General features: G+C 53.2%; 1 long non-coding RNA gene across 1 annotated transcript in view, besides 2 other annotated features; it reads right to left on the bottom strand.

The window, feature by feature from the left end:
* LOC105373611 (uncharacterized) overlaps positions 1 to 19,135 on the bottom strand; it is a 241,632-nt gene that overhangs the window by 220,052 nt on the left and 2,445 nt on the right. The gene's annotated exons all lie outside the window — the stretch shown is intronic.
* Positions 14,091 to 15,086: an enhancer, noted in NCBI's record as "H3K4me1 hESC enhancer chr2:129166671-129167666 (GRCh37/hg19 assembly coordinates)". NCBI's record gives its function as "activates a minimal SCP1, AML or CMV promoter by ChIP-STARR-seq in primed H9 embryonic stem cells {active_cell/tissue: H9 hESC(primed)}" and the evidence as "EXISTENCE:reporter gene assay evidence [ECO:0000049][PMID:30033119]".
* Positions 15,087 to 16,084: an enhancer, noted in NCBI's record as "H3K4me1 hESC enhancer chr2:129165673-129166670 (GRCh37/hg19 assembly coordinates)". NCBI's record gives its function as "activates a minimal SCP1, AML or CMV promoter by ChIP-STARR-seq in primed H9 embryonic stem cells {active_cell/tissue: H9 hESC(primed)}" and the evidence as "EXISTENCE:reporter gene assay evidence [ECO:0000049][PMID:30033119]".

Genomic DNA, 19,135 nt, shown 5'->3' with positions numbered 1-19,135 from the left:
CACCCAATGTCCTTGACAGACATAGCTAATCAATCACCACATGCTTCCCTGCCAGGGCCCAGGCTAACCTCATAGGCTCAATAGAGCACCCCAAACAGCCACTACCAAGCAATCACAGTTGGCCAGTTTGTCCATCCCAATTTAGCCATTTACATGCTGAGCCCCAGGGAGAGGGAGAGAGCTCTCCCAGCTAGTTCATGACAGCTCTCCAGACACTCCCTCCATATCCCAGGCTGAGTTCACCTGTGTTGGTCTCATGTCCCTGGACACAGCACATTCTCAAAGGGCCCAGACCAAGTCCCTGCCCCACATGGAATCTAGCTCAAGGCATGTGGTGACCAGAACTCATGTAGCCATTCAGATTTTCAACTCCCAAGAGTGCACATCCTGCATAATCCTGAGACTAAGAATATGATGGACTTTGCTCCTGAGATTAAGTTCTATCATGTGACACACTGACTCTAAGATTGGGAGATGGTTCTGGTGGGCCTGACCTGATTGCATGAGCCATTTATTTATTTATTTATTGAGATGGAGTCTCCCTCTGCTGCCCAGGCTGGAGTGCAGTGGCGCAGTCTCACTGCAACCGCCGCCTCCCGAGTTCAAGCGATTCTTCTGCCTCAGCCTCCCAAGTAGCTGGAACTACAGGCTCGCACCACCTCACCCAGCTAATTTTTGTATTTTTAGTAGAGATGGGGTTTCACCATATTGGCCAAATTGGTCTCAAACTCCTGACCTTGTGATTCACCCTCCTCGGCCTCCCAAGGTGCTGGGATTACAGGCATGAGCCACCACGCCCAGCCCCTGCATGAGCCCTTTAAAGTAGAGAGTGTCCTTCCTCTGCTAGCGACAGAAGAGCAAGTCAGAGCTTGGAAGCATGAGAAGGACTCTCTGTGCCTTTGCTGGCCTGAAGACAGACAGGCCACCTGGCAAACGGTGCAGCAGCCTTCAGAAGCTGAGAGCAGCCCCAGCTGACAGCAGCAAGGGAACAGCACCTTAGTCCTGCAACCACAAAGAACCGAGTCCTGGCAACAAAGAATGAGCTAGGAAGAGTTTTCCCACCCCGCCCCCAGCCTCCAGAAGAGGACTCAGTCCAATCAAAACCTTCATTCTCCCATCGTGATTCCCTGAGCAGGATGCTCAGCCACAGCAAGCTGGACTTTTGACTTACAGAAGGAGGAGCAAAAAAATAGGTGTTTCTTTAAGCTGCTGTGTCCTGGCGATTTGTTACACAGCACAGAAAACTAATCCAGGGCAATGTGCAACGAAGGCTCAAGGAACTCATCTGAAGTGAATGAAATTGGGTCACACTTGATCTGCTGGGGCCAGAGGAGGATCTGCCTTGAACTCAATTCTTTCTCCTTAGACACTAGGAGAAGTGCCAGCGGCTCCACCACCATGTTCTCATCATGCCTTAAGCAAATCTGACTCAACGAAAGAAAATTCTCACTATGCTCCAAGAGCATATTAATAGAAGCAGGAAGGAGAGAAATCCTAGGCAGACAGGGGCAGGTCCCCAGTGAAACCCGACATTCAAGCCAAAAACAGTCTGAAACCCACAGACCAGAGTGAGAACTTCTATTCCTGTTTGCCTGCTCTCTCCCAGTTGGTTCCTTCTGAATAATGCCTTTTAACCAATCGAATGTTGCCTTTTCCAATACTACCTGTGGCCCACCGGCCCCTATGTGGTACCTATAAATACCCTAGACTCAGTCAGTAGAGGGAAGACAGCCTGACTTTGGGGAGGAGACCTCCTGACTTTGGGAGAAGATGACCTGCCCTTCCCATCCCCTCTCTAGCTCCCCTCTCCACTGAGAGCTGTTTTCATCACTCAATAAAATTCTCCACCCTCACCATCCTTCAATCATCAAACGTGACCTCATTCTTCTTGGATGCTGGACAAGAGCTCAGGACCTACCGAGTGCGGGTACCCGGAGAGGCTGTCACACTGGCCCTATGCCCTCACCAGTGGAGGACAGCTGCCCCATGAGATGGGGCAAGGGGCTGACTGAGCTGCTAACGCACCACCATCCATCGGGCTGTGGATGGCAGAACTAAAAGAGCTAATTAGCATGCTAATACCCTCTCTGGGGCTTCAGGGTCATGGCTACCCTTGTCTGGGCGCTGCTGCATTCCCCTCGAAGCCACACACCTGGTCTGGCTGCGGGCCCTGCACAGAGCTTGCTCCTGTGTCAGTGGAGTGGCCGGCTGGATCCTGCACTCACTTGCTCAAGTGCTCCCTCCTGCAAGGGGCTGAGAACAGCGAGCCGAGTAGACCAGGCACCCCTGCCGCGAGTCTGGCGAAGGGGCCAAGAAAAGTCCTGCATTGATATGAACTAGAACCATCCCTGACCAGCTCATCAAAAGCTGCTGTAGATTTTCCTGAGGAGGCAGGAGGTGGCCCCTTTGGCATCTCTGGCCCACTGCAGGGTAAGAAGAAAAGGGAGGAGGCTTTGAGGGACATCAGACTACTTTCTTTTTCACAAAGCTTCAGAATTCCTGTTGCTGAAGCCATCCTTTTAAGCCTTGCACCCCTAACAGTGTCTAGCCCCAGCAGGCTTATCTCAAGCCAGTGTGTTACCTGCCTTGGCACTACCGCCCAAGACCTGCTGTCCTCCACAGAACATAAGCCCCCCATGGGCAGGAGTTACCATCTTGCCCAGTGCCCCATGCCCTTCGCCAGCATACTGCCAGGTGCGTAGGAGGCATCCACAAACACCTCATGGGTTGTAAATGCCTCGGGAGCCAGCAAACCGCACACAACAGCACACAGAAAACACGTGTGAGGTAAACTTCTGAGCGGCCACAGCTGGGGTGAGCGGGAGCACTACAATTCTTACAACTGGTCGTGCATGACCCCAGACTCACACATACACAGGGAAGATCAATCACATGCATTGTCAGCTCTCTCTCACAACACACCACTAAAATGATATCAATAGATTTAAATATATATATATAAGCTCATAAGGACTGAGAGAATGGGAGAGAAGACAGCAGCAAATCCAAGAATGCAATACATTTTGGAATCTAGAAAATGGATGGAGGAGAGTAACTGAGCTGGAGAGCCCAGGCAGCTGCCCTCAGTGAGGCACAGAGGCAATGCCAAGAGGAAGTGATCCCTGGCCCCAAGCCACCCTCTGGGCCCAGGAGAGGGGAGCCCAGAGCACACCTGAGGGGCAGCAGGAAGCGTGGGCCACAAAATGTATTATTCCAGCCAAGACAATCTGGGGAGGGGTGCTATTAATAATTATACCAGGACAACAGATGCAGCCTGGGCTGGCCTGGGGGCGGAAATCCTGGTACTGGCAAAAGTTCGTGTCTTCGTCTGTTTTGTGCTGCTAAAACAGACTACCACAGCCTGGGTAATTTATAAAGAACAGAAATGTATTTCTCACAATTCTGGAGACTGGGAAGTCCGACATCAAGGCGCCAGCATCTAGTTAAAACCTTTGTGCTATGTCATCCCATGACAGAAGACAAGAGGGCAAGAGAGACAGAGACAGAGAGAGAGCAAGAGAGGACCAAACTCTTATTTAAAAAAACACTCTCTCAGTAAGGAACGCACTCCCTTGATAGGGACATTAATCCATTCCTGAGAGCTCTGCGTCTTTTGGGTCTATTAATCACCTCTTAGAGATCTCACCTCTCAGCATTATAGTATTGGGGATTAAGTTTCCAGCACATGAACTGTGGGGAATACTAACATTCAGTGATAATGGCACTAGACACTCAAGGACCCTCACTCCTCACTGAGACCGCAAGTATAGTGGAGGGAAGGCCTGATGTGCAGAGAGACGTGGAGGATGATGACGTCTGCACTCAAAATGGGGAAACCACAACCTCCTGGACCACTCCTGGCTCCTACCCCAAGAAAGTACATACAAGGGCTGTTGTGCAGACGAGACTCCAAGGCTTCATGTTTGGGGTCCCCGAGGATAAGTTCCCATCATCACCTGTTCACTATACGGCAAGGTTCCACTCATACCCAAAAGCTCCCTACTCATTTTTAGTGCTTTGTCCTTAAATACAAATTGGCAGCCAACAGTCACCAAACATTTGAGGAAATCCTCCAACAGGGAAAAAAAGAAACTAAAGCAATCGGGGGGAAAGGGAGGAAAAAATAAAGTCAGAAAGATATTGCAGACACAGAACAAGAATAGAGTTCTGTGAAAAAGTAACAGATGCACAAAGAACTCTTGGGAATTAAAATTATAATGGCTGAAGTAAGTAGAACAAAAAGACAAAAAGTAGAACAAAAAATACACAAAGTAGAACAAAAAAAGATGGAAAATAGAAAAGTAAGAAGCTTAAAGGGCCGATTCAAAAGATCTGCTATCTAAGAGATAATCCAGACATAGAGAATGACAAAGATGAGGAGATTATCAATAAATGCTATTAAACCTTTCCCAACTCATGAGTTTGCAATCATTGCATGGCCAGTGCAACAAAAACAACAAAAAAAAGACAAGAAAAACCAACGTACATCACTGTAACATTTCCAAATGTCAGGGTAACAGAGTAGATCCTCAGAGCTTTGGTGGGGTGAAGTGGGGGCAGTGGAAAGAAAGTCGCTTATAAAGGAATTAGAGTGGAGTTAGATTTTTCTGCAGTTAACCCAGAAGCTAGAACATAGTGGAGCAGCACCTTCAAAATTCCCAAGGAAAAAAAAAATGTTGTTGTTGAATGTGGAATTCCATACCCAGCTGTAGGGTATTTGTATTGCTTGCCCAACCTCCAATTTACCCTCCTATTTAAAAAGGCTGGGCACCGCCCCGTCCGGGAGGTGAGGGGCTCCTGGGCCCGGCCGCCCCTACTGGGAAGTGAGGAGCCCCTCTGCCCGGCCAGTCGCCCCGTCCAGGAGGGAGGTGGGGGGGTCAGCCCCCCGCCCGGCCAGCCGCCCAGTCCGGGAGGTGAGGGGCGCCTCTGCCCGGCCGCCCCTACTGGGAAGTGAGGAGCCCCTCTGCCCGGCCAGCCGCCCCGTCCGGGAGGGAGGTGGGGGGTCAGCCCCCCGCCCGGCCGGCCGCCCCGTCCGGGAGGTGAGGGGCGCCTCTGCCCGGCCGCCCCTACTGGGAAGTGAGGACCCCTCTGCCCGGCCAGCCGCCCCGTCCGGGAGGGAGGTGGGGGGGTCAGCCCCCTGCCCGGCCAGCCGCCCAGTCCGGGAGGGAGGTGGGGGGATCAGCTCCCCACCTGGCCAGCCGCCCCGTCCGGGAGGTGAGGGGCGCCTCTGCCCAGCCGCCCCTACTGGGAAGTGAGGACCCCTCTGCCCGGCCAGCCGCCCCGTCCGGGAGGGAGGTGGGGGGGTCAGCCCCCTGCCCGGCCAGCCGCCCAGTCCGGGAGGGAGGTGGGGGGATCAGCCCCCCGCCTGGCCAGCCGCCCCGTCCGGGAGGGAGGTGGGGGGATCAGCCCCCCGCCTGGCCAGCCAACCCGTCCGGGAGGTGAGGGGCGCCTCTGCCCGGCCGCCCCTACTGGGAAGTGAGGAGCCCCTCTGCCCGGCCAGCCGCCCCGTCCGGGAGGGAGGTGGGGGGGTCAGCCCCCCGCCCGGCCAGCCGCCCCATCCGGGAGGGAGGTGGGGGGGTCAGCCCTCCGCCCGGCCAGCCGCCCCGTCCGGGAGGGAGGTGGGGGGGGTCAGCCCCCCGCACGGCCAGCCGTCCCGTCCGGGAGGGAGGTGGGGGGATCAGCCCCCTGCCTGGCCAGCCGCCCAGTCCGGGAGGTGAGGGGCGCCTCTGCCCGGCCGCCCCTACTGGGAAGTGAGGAGCCCCTCTGCCCGGCCAGCCGCCCCGTCCGGGAGGGAGGCGGGGGGGGCGTCGGCCAGCCGCCCTGTCCGGGAGGGAGGTGGGGGGGTCAGCCCCCCGCCCGGCCGGCCGCCCCGTCCGGGAGGTGAGGGGCGCCTCTGCCCGGCCGCCCCTACTGGGAAGTGAGGACCCCTCTGCCTGGCCAGCCGCCCCGTCCGGGAGGGTGGGGGGGGGGGGTCAGCCCCCCGCCCGGCCAGCCGCCCCATCCAGGAGGTGAGGGGCGCTTCTGCCCGGCCGCCCCTACTGGGAAGTGAGGAGCCCCTCTGCCCGGCCACGACCCCGTCTGGGAGGTGTGCCCAGCGGCTCATTGGGGATGGGCCATGATGACAATGGCGGTTTTGTGGAATAGAAAGGCGGGAAGAGTGGGGAAAAAATTGAGAAATCGGATGGTTGCCGGGTCTGTGTGGATAGAAGTAGACATGGGAGACTTTTCATTTTGTTCTGTACTAAGAAAAATTCTTCTGCCTTGGGATCCTGTTGATCTGTGACCTTATCCCCAACCCTGTGCTCTCTGAAACATGTGCTGTGTCCACTCAGGGTTAAATGGATTAAGGGCGGTGCAAGATGTGCTTTGTTAAACAGATGCTTGAAGGCAGCATGCTCGTTAAAGAGTCATCACCACTCCCTAATCTTAAGTACCCAGGGACACAAACACTGCGGAAGGCCGCAGGGTCCTCTGCCTAGGAAAACCAGAGACCTTTGTTCACTTGTTTATCTACTGACCTTCCCTCCACTATTGTCCTATGACCCTGCCAAATCCCCCTCTGCGAGAAACACCCAAGAATGATCAATAAAAAAAATAAATAAATAAATAAATAAAAATAAAAAATAAAAAGGCTGGGCAGGCCAGGCCCGGTGCCTCACGCCTGTAATCCCAGCACTTTGGGAGGCCAAGGTGGGCGGATCACTTGAGATCAAGAGTTCGAGACCAGTCTGGCCAACATGGCAAAACCCCGCCTCTACTAAATACACAAAAATTAGCGGGCGTGGTGGTGCATGCCTGTAATCCCAGCAACTCAGGAGGCTGAGGTGGGAGAATCGCTCGAACCCAGGAGGCGGAGATTGCAGTGAGTCAGGATCACACCACTGCACTCTAGCCTGGGCAACAGAGCAAGACTCTGTCTCAAAAAGAAAAAAAAAAAAAAAAGGTTGGGCTGGGCAGGTAAGACTACATTTCCAGTTCACAGCTAGGGTCTTGGATGTACATTGGGTTCTGCAGGAGGTGAAAGCAGGTCTTTTTGCTTTTGTTTTGTTTATAGGAGGAGACAGTTTCCACGCAGCTTCTGGACGTCAGTCCTCATTCAGAAGGGGTTGCCTTTTTTTAACGAGTCCCAGGTTCCTTCAGCTGCTTCCTGGCACAACACCAAGCAGTGGCAGTGGTGGAGGTGGCTTCTTTCTCTATGACTCTGAGCCTAGTGGAAGCTTAGAGGGTCCAGCCCCCAGGTTCCAGGGGTGCAGAGGCTGCTGGTGTAAGAGTGGCTCCAGACCCTGGCTGATGGGGCTGCAGAGGCTGCCTGAGGGGAGCTGCTCCCTAGGGGGCAGTTCTATATTGTTCTGAAAAATCATTCCTAGAGGCCCCACCTAGAAATTGCTCCTATATAGTCCTTCTAGCAATTGCAATTTGTGTATCCTGCACTGAGCATTGGACTCTGCTGATATAGCTGCCAAACTGCCAACCAAGGCAAAGAACAGAGCAGCCCCCGGCAGTATTTGGTCCAGGGCCCCCAGCCGGCCTTTTCCAGCCCTGCACCACCAGCTGCTGCCACATGCCTGCTTCCAGAGTCTCAGCCTGCAGGGGACTCCAGGCCAGTACCCTCGGGCCCAGACAGTGCCTGGAGTTAAGGTTTCTCCTTATGTCTGTCCTTGCTTACAGGGGACCTAGAGCTAATGCCTGCCCCGGGCAGCAGTGTGAAATCTCAGTGCCCTTGCAGGACAAACCCTGTCGTGTCCTTTCCCCTCCAGGGCCCCCCCATCAAGCTGAGACCAGCACTGCACCTGAAAGCACACCCGCTGAGCTTCCTCCCTTCCCTTCCCTGCAGTCCCCACTCTCTGGCAGTATTTTCTCAATGAATCACTTTCACACAGACTCATGTTTCACAGTCTGGAAGAAACATTTTCAGATATGCAAGGACTCTAAAATTTTATCCCCCAAGAACCTGTTCTTAGGAAGCTACTAGAGGATATGCTTCAGCAGAATGGCGGCATGAAACAGGAAAGGAAGACACGACACCCGGAATCCATCCCAAGCAAGCCCTGGGATTGGCTGGGATGAGGAGAGGATGTCTAGGGAGCAGCCTAGAGCCAAAAAACCCCCATGGGAGGGTCCAGGAGAAAAGGGGGTTGGTAGAAGGGCAATTTGACTATTTGGAAAGTAACATTGATTCATATATAACTGCTCTGGTGAAGACTGAGAAAAACAGAGGTGGGTACAAAGAAATCTAAATAAAGGGGAAATATGCACATATTCAGTCCAGGAAACATTATCGTCTACTTCACTTAGCAGTAAACACAATTCACTGCCATAGTAATGTACATACTGGCTATTGATTTAACCAAAAATTGTGATAAGAGTGTACTGAAGATGGGGGAAGGGCCAGGGCAGGGAAGTCTGTGGAGGGCTACTTCACTAGCTTCCAATGCAGTCAATAGACAATGTTTAGAATTGATTAACCAAGAAATAGCAGTGTCAGCATATTATTTAGAAATACTGAAGTAAATACTAGCTGTAAGCATTGTCAACAGAAATCCATTTGAAATGAATGTGTCTTTTTCAACCTCATTACTTCCAACAGGATGGAGCATGGCTTCTGATGTAACACACACACTCCAACATGACACAATGAGGCTGGAAGAATGAGAATGCAGCTGTGGAGGAAGCAGGCAGTGGGGAAAGTTGGGGAGAGATGGGCCCCCAGTACACACACAAGCTCTTTACCTCAAGCCCAGCCCCACAGCCAGGGAGGCTCAACAGCCACATGAAGTGAATGCTCCTGATACAATTTAAGAACCCCTCCATCCCCACACTCCCAGCTGCCATCAGCCATTGCTGCCCCAAACTCCACATTATGCGTTCATTTATCTGAGTTGGGCATTACTGTCTTCACTTTATGTATGTATGTATTTATATGTGTATATATGTATATATTTATAAGAGACAAGGTCTCAATACGTTGCCCAGGCTGGAGTACAATGGCTCAATCACAGCTCACTGTGGTCTCGACCTCCTGGGCTCAAGTGATCCTCCTGCCTCAGCCTCCAAAGAAGGTGGGACTACAGGTATGTGCCACGAAGCCCAACTAATTTTTTTTATTTTTTTTTATTTTTATTTTGTAGAGATGGAGGCCTCAGCATGCTGCCCAGACTGGTCAAATTCCTGGGCTTAAGTGACCCTCCTGCCTTGGCCTCCCACAGTTCTGGGATTAGTCTCTTGACTTTAAAAGTGGAGGTTCCCCTGCTGGGGTCACACACCAAATATAGTGTGGAGGAAGCACAGGTTGGGCTCCAACTCCCATTGCATGGCCTTGGCAAGCTGCTGAGAAAGTCTTTGAACCTCATCTTCCTCAAGTGGTAGATCACAAAAATGACCACCATTTTTTGCAGAAAAAAAAAAAAAAAAACACTTGTTCTGGGCTGGCCCAGTGGTTTGCTTTGACCAACAGAACATAGAAGAAGTGATATTGAACCAATATTAAGTCTAGACCAAGAGAAACCTTCAGCTTCCATTCTTGCTGCTCTTAGAGGCCTGACATTGCCACGTGAACAAGCCAAGCTAGCCTGCTGGAGGAAGAGAGACACATGGCCCAACATGGCCCAGCCCCTCAGTGCCCCAACCAAGAGCCAGCACACTCCCAGACTTGTGAATGAGGCCATTCAGGATAAATGGGCTTCCAGCTGACCTACCAACTGACTACAGATCCATGAGCAGGCCCAGCTGAGATTAGCCTAGCCCAGTCCGGACCAAAAGAACCACCCAGCAGAATCATAGGCTAAACAGACGGTGGTGGTTTTTTTATGCCACTGAGTTTTGGGAAGCTTTGCTATGTAGTAAGGGAAAAGTAATACAACTATGGGAAATAATACTGATGCTTAGGTCACAGGGTTGTTAAGATGTAATGATAGATAGGAAGGGACCCAGCTGCTGGAAAATGTCCTTATCTCCCATCCCCATCTCCAACACTTGCAAGCAGAGTTTTTAGCAACTGCTTTTCTACTGAGGGCCATGGAGAGGAGGTCAGGAAGTGGGGGCAGGGCTCCCAAAGAAGAGCTCAAACGGTGCCTCCACCGACCCCCTAACACAGCCCTGGAGTCTGAGCCACAGGCCGGCTGGTGAAGCAAAGAGCAACTCAGCTTTGCAAGCAGCTCTGAAAAGGCAAAGATTTAACCACTGTAATTGGCTTATTGATTTTGCAATCACATTTTAAGATGCACAATCTGCCACTATCTGCATTGGCTATTACAGCAGCCTTCCAGGGAAGTTTTATCTCCACCACCTGCGGACCAGACCTTGAACCAGGAGGTAGAGAAACGACTCTCCCTAATCATCCTGGAAGTCTGGTAAACACAGCTCATGGCAGGCACAGATGGCAGTGGGGAATGAGAGAATGGAATGGAAGCCTCAGGCTTTCTGCACTGATCCCACAAGGCACCCTTTACCTCACCACTGCACTAAGCTCGTCTGCTTCACTCTGACTGCCGCAGAAGCCTCTATTCTTGCTGGAAAGACCTGGGGTTCCAAGGAAGAGCACTGAGTCTGGAGTCAGAAGCTGCAGGCTGTGCCAATGGTTCTACGTCTGACGAAGACATACACCCCGGAGAGCCCTGAACTGCCCTCAGTCATCTATTGTTGTGGGGCAGCTCTTCCAGAAAAGTAGGTCTGGATGCTCTTGTCCACACAGACCCCCACAAGAGCAAACAGGAGGTGCCCTGAGTCTGCTAAGAGCATCCTAAGCACCTGAGCTAGGCCCAAGGGGGCACGTGATCTCCTCTGCACAGGAGGCCACAGTCTAGAATTTGTAAGTCTGGGTTTGCAAAGATGATAGGGCTCACTGAGTCCATCCAAGCCTCCATTTTATGGCTGAGCAAACAGAAACAGCCATTCAGAGAAAGTCAATGACCTGCCCAAGGGACCTCAGTTCCTGAGCAGCAGGGACAGCACCAAAGCAAAAGTTCCATTGCCCACGTGGGGCACTTCCTCACTGCAGGGCTGCCTCTGGTGCACAGATCTCGAGATTACAAGACAGTGAGGGTCTCCGTGCCCGAGAGGGCTTTGTCCACTCTGGGTCCCATAATCTTGAGTGCAGGTGACCAAGTGTCCATCTAAAGGGCTTTGTAACTCAGGACTAACACAGTTAAGCAAGGGGTTCATTGGAATTGCATGGACACACTATAGATGAGACCGATGAATAGTGACCTACATTAATGGTGATACCGTGAAGGTAGGCAGGTGGTTCCAGAACCAGTGCCTGGACCCGTGTGGCCAGTCTGCATTCCTCTCATCTCAGATTCTTTGATTCTCTCTGGAAACCTCACAGTTCTTGGCCTGTGCTCAGTATGTGTGACTTCAGTGGGCCCTTGTAGCAACTTGTGGTTAATTCTCCAGTTCCCTCAGTGCTTTTGCTCAATGTTCACTTCAATAAGCCAGTCTTTATCAGTTGGTTTGTCTAAGGGTTTCCTTCCTTTCCTATCCTCTACAAAATGCCACGGCATGTGATGGTCACCGGCCACCAGGAGCCGCAGCTTCCCTGAGGTCTGGGGTTAACACTGGGACAGCAACAGAGACCCACCTGCCCTGCAGAATCTCAGGGCCCAGCCTTGGTTCCCTGTGGCCCACAGCATCATGGCAGAAGACACGGTCCTTCCATTTAGCTCAGAAGAGTGCACACCTGTTCACAATGCCGTCCCCTCCCGTCCCACCACTTTCTTGAACACTGCAATGATAGAAGGGGAGCCCAGTGTCCGGAAGGAGCAAACTGCCCAGGAGGGAAATTCTGGACCTGAGTAAGCAAGAGCCTTGGAGAAGACAGGCAGCCCTGGAGGGTGTCAGGCCCAGGGGCATCCCATCCAGCCTGATGCAGAAAGGCACCCAATTTGGCCAGAGCCCCTGGGACCTGGTACAGCCTGTGATCACCACCTCCCACCAGTCTCCCTGTTCCCTATTCCACCTCCCCTGACCACCCAGTGCTGTCCCCAGAGTGGCCTTTCTAAAATGCAAGTTTGTGGGCCAGGCATGGTGGCTCACCCTGTAATCCCAGCACTTTGGAAGGCCGAGGCGTGTGGATCACAAGGTCAGGAGTTCAAGACCAGCCTGACCAACATGGTGAAACCCCATCTCAACTAAAAATACAAAAAGAAAAAAAAATTAGCCGGGCGTCGTGGCGGGCACCTGTAATCCCAGCTACTCGGGAGGCTAAGGCAGGAGAATAGCTTCAACCCAGAAGGTGGAGGTTGCAGTGAGCCGAGATCACGCCACTGCACTCTAGCCTGGGTGACGGAGCAAGACTCCATCTTGGAATAAATAAGTAAATTAAATAAAATAAAATGCAAGTTTGCCCCCTGCTTAGAATCCTGCGGAATAAACCTGGGCCTGGCACTCAAAGCCCATCTTATCCAGTCCCAGCAAACACCCCAATTTCATCTCCCACCACTCCTCTCACCCCAGGGACCCTTCACTCCAAATATGGGCACCTTGCCAGGACACACCACCAAACAGCCTCTGCTCTGCCACCCTGATAAATTCCACCCCTACCTGGTGACAGCGCAGGTGGCCCTCCATGCACGGCAGCTTCCCAGGGCCCTCAGCACTTGGTCTGTCCACACATTTGCTCATCCCACTGTGTGCCATCTATCTGTCCCCACGATCCGGGGGCCTGGGGCAGGGTCGGATCTCACTTCTGGAACCTGAGTGCCACGCTGCGCCTGGCTCACAGTGAGCCCTTGATAAATGTCTGATGAGCGGCTGGCTGCATTAATGAGCAAATATGGAATAAAACCTACGTGCACAAGTTTGCTGCGGGTAAAACAAATCCCAATTAACACAATAAGTGGCATGTTGTTTTCTCTATTTCAGGATACATCAAATAATTAGTGCTTAGTACACAGAGAGCTCCGAGTGTGAAGCTGGATGTAATCAAATGTCAAAACACAGAAACCTAAGGAGAAAAATCACTGATGCACTCAATTAGGAAGCAAAACTACTCCAGGTAGGTTTTCTCCTGGACGCGGACAGCTTATTGCAGGATTCCAAGGCTACATTACAATGTTAAAAAGACTCATTACAAGGCAAGCTGGAAAATGTAACGGTCCTGAGTTCAGATTGGGGCTGCTGGCTGCCCAGAGTGGCTGAGTGGCTGGTGCCCCACAGCAGGCCTGCCCACTGCCCCACTAGCCACAAAGGGCTACATTTGCCGAGTGCCAACCATGTGACGGGCACTTTATATCACTAAACCCTCATGAGGCAGACATGCTCATGGTCTCCATTCTATCTGAGAAAAGGGGGCTAGAGCAGCTGCATAATTTGCTCGTGGACTCACGCTCAGGTCTGCTTGGATCTAAGCCACATGCATGTCCATCTTCTCAGGCAAGATGAGCTGGGCTCATCCTCCTCCACCATCACCAGGCGACATAGCCCCCTCCTGGGCATCTTCTCAGGCTCTCTTGCCTTTCCACCTCTCGCTCCCTCTCACTCCCACAGCCACCAGCTCACCCGATTCCACTGCTCTGTGCAATTCCATTGCTCGTAGCCAACCAGCCATGCTCCTGGGGTCCCTGGCTCCTCCTGCCACATGCAGACCCAGAAGTGAAATGCTGCCAAAAAGGGCAGGCAAGGGACTCCTCATGGGGGTGACCTCTTGCAAATGGGTGGTGGAGGGAGAGGAGAGGAGCCCACAGACACCTTCGTCCTCCCTTCTTCTCTCCTATGGACTCATCCAAGGCAGGAACTCTCCACACTGCAGGTCGAGAGGTGTCCCATGTGGCTGACAGTGTGCACCTGTGGCCTGACCGCTGTGTCCTCCCGGTTCCCATTCATCCTTCCCACCTGTCCTCCTAAACAAAGCACTGGTACTCAGTCCTTGTCCCGGCTCTGGTTTCTAGGGAACCCAGGCTAAGACACTGCTGTGGTCTTTACCATTTTTCTTCCCCTTTATCCCCAGCCCCACCCACCACCCTTTCCCTCAGAGGCATCTACTCCCACACGCCAGATAGACTTCCTGCAATGTGGAGGCTTCCTGGAATCTGTCCTTCCAGGCCATGTAGTTTAATCTACCTAAAGAGTATTGCACCATGCATTTCTTTCCCGTGCTGGACCTTGCCACCCAGCCCCAGCCTATGTGAGCTGCTCACAGAAGCCCAGGTGTCACCTCCCTGCTGCGTAGGGGTCCATGGCACTGCCACGGGTCACTCATCCACTCATCCAGAGAATGCTGGATGAACACCCTCACAGTTCTTTGGGGACTGTGTGGAGTGTCTCAGTACAGAGCAGGTGCAGGACCATGGAGGCCTGTGCCACACCCAGTCCAAATGTCTCTAAACACACCGGGCTGCTCTTACACCAAGAGCACCCCCTTGAGAGAGGCCTGCTCCCCACAGTTTGGCCAACACCACTGTCGTTTGACATGCCAAGGCCTCTAGTCCTGCTGGGTGTGAGGCAGCAGTGCCTCATCCTCCCTCTCAGGACTGGTGAGGTTAGCGGCTTTCTTCAGCTCATTGGCTGTTTGAGATGCCCTGTTGCTACCTGATATTTCACCTTTGAGCTCACACTGCCCTAGCCCTGTGGCCACCTGGGCTGCTCATGTGGGTCTCAGAGGAGCAATAAAGCCCAGGGCCGGCCGTGTGCCTGGTCATGGGTTTAGGGAGTTAGGGAGGGGCTATATCAGGGCAGAGCGCCTCTGACTTACCAACTGCACCTACCTCCTCCCCATGAGCCCCCAAGTGACCCTGTCCTACCGCAAGAGTGGATTCAGGTTTTGTGAGGCTAAAATCCCATGGCCCCACAATCCTGATGGGCTCTGAGTCCATCCAATCCATGTTCTATTTCTCCCCCATTACCCACTTTCCCTCTTGCTTGGGTCTCCGAAGGCCTAAAGACCAGGACACCACAATCACAAAGGGCCTGACATATCTGCTCCCTAGCCCTGCTGGTCCTTAGGAGACCTGAGTGCAAGAGCCCAGGAGGCTGGGTCAGCCCTGAGGCCAGCCAATTCCCTGGTGTCTGGCCATCCATACTGTCCAGGACCAGGACCCAGCCCAAGGAACTCACAGGAAATCAGGGACAGCTCGATGGTTTCTTGCAGCTGACTCACTCATGAGCGTATTTCCCAAAGCACATTCCACAAAAACTCACTTCTGTGATGTGTTAACATGAATTCATAAAATAAAAGCAGCTTGGCAGGCCTGTATTTGGAGGAAGTTTTTCATTGACCATGACGAGCATCAGGACCTCCCAGGACCTCTCCCTGTTCATGTGCCATCAGTCCCCTGTGTTTGCAGCACAGTGGGCAGCACCCCACAGCCCACCCTAACCACAGGGTCCCTGCCCGCCGCCCACCCTAACCACAGGGCCCCTGCCCGCCGCCCACGCAACTGCATCCTCCGGAATTATCATCTCAAGACAAAGACACACGCCCAGGGAAAGCCACGCAACAGGGTAGGACAGGGAAGCTTGCCCATCTGCCTCTGCTCCACCCAGAAAGGCTGGGCACTCTCTCAGCCACCACATGGATATCCCGTTCCCAGAGGCCTCAGGAACTGCTGTGCCCTGGAGTCGCCCTTCACATTCTACCCCAAATCCTCCCCAACTTCCTGGCCAGGCATCCTCTTTTGCAGCCTGCAGACAGACTGGCTTTGTTCCCAAGGTGTGTGTTCCCAAGACCTGAATGAAATGCCATGGGATGCTTAAACTAGACACAACATGCCTGCCACGCAGGACCCTGGCTAGATGTGGTATAACAGGGCCTGTGTCTCCCACGTGGGGCCCATGCAGGCCGCCCCCGCCCCCATCCAACTTCCTCACAGCTGGGAGCTCAGGATACTTCCAGACCTTTGTTTGTAGTTGCTGCTGTAAACGTGCTGCAATTTATTTGGGTTTTCTAGAATCCCTATGATTTTCGCTTGCTGCATCAAAACACACTTATAGCTATTATGACACTAGTAGTGGTAATAATCATGCAGGAAAAAATAACTTTATTCTCGCAAGCAAATTCTGTGGTCCCAACCTCCTTCCCCGCAATAAAACAAAACCCTGAAATTTCTAAGGGATTCAGCCACCAGAACATTGTCTTATACTGTCCCCACATCCAGTCTGTGGGATAGAAAAAGCAAAACAGGCCGGGCGCGGTGGCTCACGCCTGTCATCCCAGCACTTTGAGAGGCCAAGGCGGGTGGATCACGAGGTCAAGAGATCGAGACTAGCCTGGCCAACGTGATCAGCCTGGCCACTGCACCCCAGCCTGATGACAGAGCAAGACTCTGTCTCAAAAAAAAAAAAAAAAAAAAGAAAAAGAAAGAGAAAAAAGAAAAGGCAAAACAACACCTATCACATCCCATGAATCCCCCTCCCACACACTCCCTCCCCTGCAGGCCCAGTCCCCCCCGCCACGAAGCCCACAGCCTCAGAGGACAGGCTTTCCAGGACCCCGTCTCTACTGCACTGCCCACCCAGTCTCACTCATGAGCTGACTACACACATGCACATACACGCCCATGCATGCCTGCATACACATACATATAGGCACACGTGCACACAGTAGACGGGGAAGGAACTGCAAACTCCCCGACCATGGAGGCCGGGACCCTCCAGTCACCCCACCACCTCAGCCAGGGCCAGCTCAGTGCTGCCTGAGCCCCAGGACACACAGCTATCCCCCAGGGCCACACTCCTCATGCCCTTCTAGGCCCTGCTTTCAGGGTCCCCAGCCCAGCTCAGCGCAGAGGATATTCCAGAGTCGCTTTGCAGGTGGGATGGTGACAGGCTGATTCCAGGGATGCAGATCCACGGGCTCCTCAGCCTGCGAGCTTGGCCAGCTTAGGAAAGCCCTCTGCTTCCCAGTGCCTCCCAAAAAGTGCTCTCTCCCCATCAGGCCATGCGCCACAGTGAGAGCCACTGCCGTCCCCACACCCCGGAGGCCGAGCTCCTCCATTGAAGCCACTATGGCTCACCACACTGTAATGCATCTGTGACCATCCCCAGGCATCAGTGCCACCCTACGGGACAGGGAGGGGCAGGGTCTTGCACAGCAAACCAGGCAGTGCAGCAGAGCCAGCTACCTTGCTGTCCTGCCGCCAGCACCCATCCGTCCACCTGGCCAGGCCCCAGAGGCTAAAGTCAGGGTGCTCGGCCCAAGAACAGGCAGACTCCTTTATCGTGTGCCAGGGCGGGGGTAAAAAACCCTCACCATTTCCTGATGCATTATTTATCAGGAGCGCATTAACTGTGGGTGACATCACAGGCATTCGAAGGTAATTTGTGGAAAGTATTGTTAAAGCAATTGATTTGCAAATTCCTTGACAGGGAAACGGAGCACTGAGCAGGCAGAGATGTGACATGGAGCCCTTTTTTTAATGTATTTGGGGATAATTGATTGAAAGCTAAGCTGTGTAGCCAGTGAGAAAATGAGATTATTCTGTCTGTTATGCAAAGAAATCGTATATTGTGCAAAACAGCAGGCTGAGGAGCTGTCAGAGCAGCTGAGAGGCACTTGCTCCTGGGAAAGGCAGAGCATGATGTCTTCCTTTCCAAATCCAAACAAGTCCTCACCATTCCCCTAACCCCAGAAAGCTCTCACCACCAGCTCCTCCTGCATCGCCTCTCGCCCCTCCACCCAGCCCCACATCAGCCCTGGGCCTCAGCCTAGACCCCTCCCTTTCTCCACCCTATACTGGGATCGGTCAGTCAAGTCACTGGGTCCTGAAGATTCCAGCACCTTTGTCTGATCATCCATGCTCCTGTCCACAATCTGACTCCAGGGTGTGCCAAGGACACGAGGGCTTCTGGGGAGCCCATGAGAACACAGCACAGCCATGTGGATGGAGGTGTGCTGCAGGGATTGGGACTCCACCCTGCTTGGCTCTCAGCAGCCACTACCCTTCAACAGGATGGTTTCAGTCCCCCAGTAATCCACACTGTGCCTTCTTAGCCCACACAGCCAGCTGTACCTGCCCATCAGGACTCTCAGTGACTACTCAGAGCCTCTAGGACTACACAGAGCACCTTTGTGAGGCCACAGAGCCACGTGGCCTCCTCCCCTCTACTCCCTCCACACCTTCCTGCAGTCCAGCAGCATCAAACTGCCTCTGCATGTGCCAGCCTGGAGGCTGGAATGCCACCCACCCATGGTTTGTCCACCCAGAAGGCACATTTAGTCTCCAGGAGTAGTTCAAATGCCTCGTCCTCCAGGAAGCCTTCTCTGACTGCCCCAGGCAGCACCCCTTAGGTGCTCCTCCCTCCCTCTGAACACCAGTGTGTTCACTAGTGGGGCCCTCCCTTCCCTAGATTATGAGCTCACAGGTGGCTAAAAGGGTAAGTGCATGGCTGCAATGAATTAATGTATGCAAGAATGAATTAGGGAATGAATGAACCACTGCCCAAATCACATTGCTGGGTCCCTCATTTTCTCCCAACTCTAACAAAGCATGGGCACCCATGGGGGCTGTTGGTTTTGTTAGCTGTTCCCACTACTCTGAGCCAGAGGATCACCCGGTCCAGAGCTCCACTGGCGGGACGGTCCCACAGTCATGGGGAGGCCCGGTTCAAGAGAAATTTGGACCAACAGTCTGATCCCAGTCCACATATGAAAGCTGCATAATCTCAGCCACTTGGCTACCACCCTGAGCCTGTGGACAGGCCCAGTCAAACAAAAGTGCGCCTGGGGTTGGAACAATAGCTTAGCTCTGCCTCCCACACATCTGTAACCCTGGGCAGATCACTCGGCCTCACCGAGCCTCAGTCTTCACGTCTGCCAGATGGAGATCACATTAGTGCCAACCCGTAAGGCTGTTGTGAGGGTTACAGCCACGGTGCCTAGGTCTCACCAGGCCCTCACTAGAGGTAGAAATGCTTGCTGGACCACCTCATCCCAGTGCCTTTATTTATGTGATTACACTGAAAGTTCCCATCAACTTGATTTAGGATTTTCCTGCCCATTTTCTGTATTAGGAAATGGAGGCTCCTGGAGTTGCTCAAGAATACCTGCTAATAGTGGTGGGGATCTGGCCACACCTGGCCATGTCAGTACCCAGTACCATTCTCCCCTGGAAAGCAGGAGGCAGGAGCTGACCCTTCAGCAGGGAGGGAGGTTGCCGGACAGCAAGGCCTGCTGGCCTTCTCCCAGAGCCCCAGCACAGCC

Source organism: Homo sapiens, chromosome 2 (assembly GCF_000001405.40).
Source record: "Homo sapiens chromosome 2, GRCh38.p14 Primary Assembly".
In the NCBI taxonomy this organism is placed as follows: domain Eukaryota; kingdom Metazoa; phylum Chordata; class Mammalia; order Primates; family Hominidae; genus Homo; species Homo sapiens.
The sequence above is the reverse complement of the archived record's forward strand: the minus strand, read 5'-3'. Positions and strand labels throughout refer to the sequence as shown.